At 42.9% G+C, this 3,422-nt stretch overlaps 2 annotated features.

Annotated features, from left to right (window-relative positions):
* Positions 268 to 813: an enhancer, noted in NCBI's record as "H3K27ac-H3K4me1 hESC enhancer chr19:22723675-22724220 (GRCh37/hg19 assembly coordinates)". NCBI's record gives its function as "activates a minimal SCP1, AML or CMV promoter by ChIP-STARR-seq in naive H9 embryonic stem cells {active_cell/tissue: H9 hESC(naive)}" and the evidence as "EXISTENCE:reporter gene assay evidence [ECO:0000049][PMID:30033119]".
* Positions 814 to 1,359: an enhancer, noted in NCBI's record as "H3K27ac-H3K4me1 hESC enhancer chr19:22723129-22723674 (GRCh37/hg19 assembly coordinates)". NCBI's record gives its function as "activates a minimal SCP1, AML or CMV promoter by ChIP-STARR-seq in naive H9 embryonic stem cells {active_cell/tissue: H9 hESC(naive)}" and the evidence as "EXISTENCE:reporter gene assay evidence [ECO:0000049][PMID:30033119]".

Here is a 3,422-nt window from a genome sequence, read left to right as displayed (position 1 = left end):
GTCCTGGCCCTGGCAGGCCCATCTACAATGCTAGGAGGGAGGGCAGACCTTGCTGCAGGGTGTTGGGAAACTTGGCCTTGGGAGCAGATGGAGATCTCTCCTGACAGCATCCATACCTGAAGGCGGAAGGCAGGATTGCCGGCGGAGAAGAGATCCAGGTGCCTTGATGTGAGTGTTGACGGTGGAAAGCAGGCCAGAGCCAGGTACTAAAATCTTTAGCAAATGATCAATGGGGTGTGGCTTGAGGGTGGCGGGGCTGTGATGGAAACAAGAAGAGGAGGGTGGAGGAGGGAAGGAGGAAGGATGAAGTTCTGGAGGCAGCTCTGAAAAGCAGAGCGCCCCACCCCAGGCTGCCGGGGAAGATTGAGGAAGCTGCAATAGTTTTTAATTGAAAAGAGACAGAGTCTTGCTATGTTGCCTAGACTGGCTTCAAGCTCCCAGGCTTAAACAGTCCTCCTGCCTCAGCCTCCTGAGTAGTTGGGACTATAGACTTGTGCCACCATGCCCAGCTTGCACTGGTTATTTTTGGCAGAAGGGAAGTTTCATCATAAAGCCTTTCTCTTCAGCTCCGGGTGCCAGCTGGAGCCCCAGAAGAGGATCAGGCATCGTGTTTAGTCACAACCCCCACTCCTTCATTGGGCCAGCAAATATCTATCCATCTTCCCACCGTCTACTCGCAGCCAACCATGTTCCTGACACTGAAGCCAGAGGTGAGTCCTGCCCTCCACTGGGGTGGGAGCCTCCTTAGCCAGCAGGGAGATGGACGCCCCGACTTGATGAGGGAGATGCCGCCATCAAGAACAGAGTTCCATGGCTCTGGTTCCAAGCCTCATTTCCTTCCCTTCCTTCCGCCCCTCCCCTCTGCTCCCTCTCCCCTCTCCTCCTCCTCTCCTCTTCCCCCTCCCCTCCCTCCTTCCCTCCCTTCCTTCCCTCTTTTTCTTCTATCTTTTTTCTTTCTTTCTTTCTCTCTCTTTTTCTTTAAGACAGGGTCTTGCTCTATAGCCCAGGCTAGAGTGCAGTGGAACAATCAGAGCTCACTGCAGCGTCGACATCCTGGGCTCATGTGATCTTCTCACCTCAGCCTTCCAAGTAGTTGGGACCACAGGTGTGCACCATTGCACCTGGCTAATTTTTTTATTTTTTTATTTTAATTTTTTTTGAGCCAGAGTCTCGCTCTGTTGCCCAGGCTGGAGTGCAGTGGCGTGATCTCGGCTCACTGCAACCTCCGCCTCCCGGGTTCAAGCGATTCTCCTGCCTCAGCCTCCCGAGTATCTGGGACTACAGGCGTGCGCCATCACACCCGGCTAATTATTTGTACTTTTAGTAGAGACTGGCTTTCCCCATGTTAGCCAGGCTGTCTTGAACACCTAACCTCAAGTGATCTGCCGGCCTCGACCTCCCAAAGTGCTGGATTACAGGCGTAAGCCATCGCACCGGGCCACTTTGCGTGTATTTCTAATTAACTCCTCACTCCATTCCCAGCCCTTGCCAAACAATGATCTCTTCCAGAGTGACACGTAAATGTGATTAAACAAGTATATAAATTTTTGAATCTGGTTTCTTTCACTAAGTGTTATACATTTCAGATTCATCCAGATTGTTGTGGGTATTGGTAGTTCTTTTTATTTCTGAGTATAATTTCATTGCACAGATCCACCACAATTTGTTTATCTATTTACCAGTTGAAAGGCATTTGAGTTGTTTCCAGTTTTTGATATTATGAATAAACTCATTATGTATATATTTGCTTATAGGTTTGTATACGGACATAATATGTTCATTTCTCCGGGATAAATACCTAGCAGTAAAATTGCTGTGTCTTATGCTAAAGTGTGTTTAATTTTTAAGAAACTTAGCTGGGTGTGGTGGCATGTGCCTGTAGTCTCAGCTACTCCAGAGGCTGAGGCATGAGGAAGCTTGAGCCCGGGAGGTAAAGGCTGGATTCAACTGTGATCGCACCGCTGTACTCCAGCCTGTGTGACAGAGCAAGACCCTATCCCAATACTACTACTACTAATAATAAACAATTGTATAAGAAACTGCTAAAATGTTTTTCAAAATGGCTGTTCCATTTTGTATTCCACCAGCAATGTATGAGTGTTCCAGGTGCACTATATCCTGGTCAGAACTTGGTGCTGTCATCATTTTTTTTTTTTTTTTTTTTTGAGATGGAGTCTCACTTTGTTGCCCAGGCTGGAGTGCAGTGGTGTAATCTCCACTCACTGCAACCTCCGCCTCCCAGGTTCAAGAGATTCTTCTGCCTCAGCCTCCTGAGTAGCTGGGATTACAGATGTCTTCCACCCCACCTGGCTAATTTTTATATTTTTAGTAGAGACAGGGTTTCACCATGTTGGCTAGGCTGGTCTCGAACTCCTGACCTCAGGTGATCCACCTGCCTTGGACTCCCAAAGTGCTGGGATTACAGGTGTGAGCCACTGCGCCTGGCCGGTGCTGTCATTTAAAAAAATTTTTTTTTAAATTTAGGCTCTTTTAATAGAATATAATGGTATATCATTGTGGCTTTAATTTCTCCAATGACACCTGATGTTCAACATCTTATTATGAGCTTTTTTGCCATCCTTATATCTTCTTTGTTGAACTCTATACTCAAATCTGTTGCCTATGTATTTTTATGAAATTATTTGTTTCCTTATTATTGAGCTCAAGAGGTCTTTACATAACCTGGATACAAGCCCTTTATTAGATTTGTGTTTTGCAAATGTTTTCTCCAAGTTTCTGGTTTGTGTTTTTATTCTAACAGTATCTTTTGGACAAAAACTTTTAAATTATGATAATGTCTAATTTATCATAATTTTATGGATCATATTTTTGGTGTCATGTCCAAGAAATTTTTGTCTAAGTTAAGGTCACAAAGATTTTTATTGTAGGTTCTCCTCTATGTGTTTTATAGTTTTATATTTATGAATACGATCTATTTTAGTTTTGGTATATGATACAAGGTATGAATTAAAACTCTTTTTTTTATATACAGATGTCCAATTGTTCCAGCACCATTTGTTAAAAACCTATACTTTCTCTATTGAATTGCATTTTGCATTTTTGTGAAAAATTGCCTGTGTATAGTTACTGTATTTCTAGTATCTATTCTATTTCATTAATCTACATGTCTGTCTTTTCACCAGAATTACACTGTGTTATAATAAATCCTGAAGTCAGATAGTAGGAGTCTTCTAAATTTGTTCTCTTTCAGAAGTATTTTGGCTTTTTTATTCTTATGAATTTTCGTGTGAATTTAGAAACAGCTTGTGGATTTTAAAAGGAAATGTCTGCTTGGATTTGAATGGAATTGTGTTGCATCCAGATCACTTTGAGGAAATTTGTATCTTAATTCTATTGAATTTTCCAACAATAGACATGATGTAGCTCTCTGTTCAGCTCTTCTTTGATTTTTTAAATAGACA

Source organism: Homo sapiens, chromosome 19, assembly GCF_000001405.40.
Source record: "Homo sapiens chromosome 19, GRCh38.p14 Primary Assembly".
NCBI classification, from domain to species: domain Eukaryota; kingdom Metazoa; phylum Chordata; class Mammalia; order Primates; family Hominidae; genus Homo; species Homo sapiens.
This window is presented reverse-complemented; position numbering and strand designations above follow the sequence as displayed.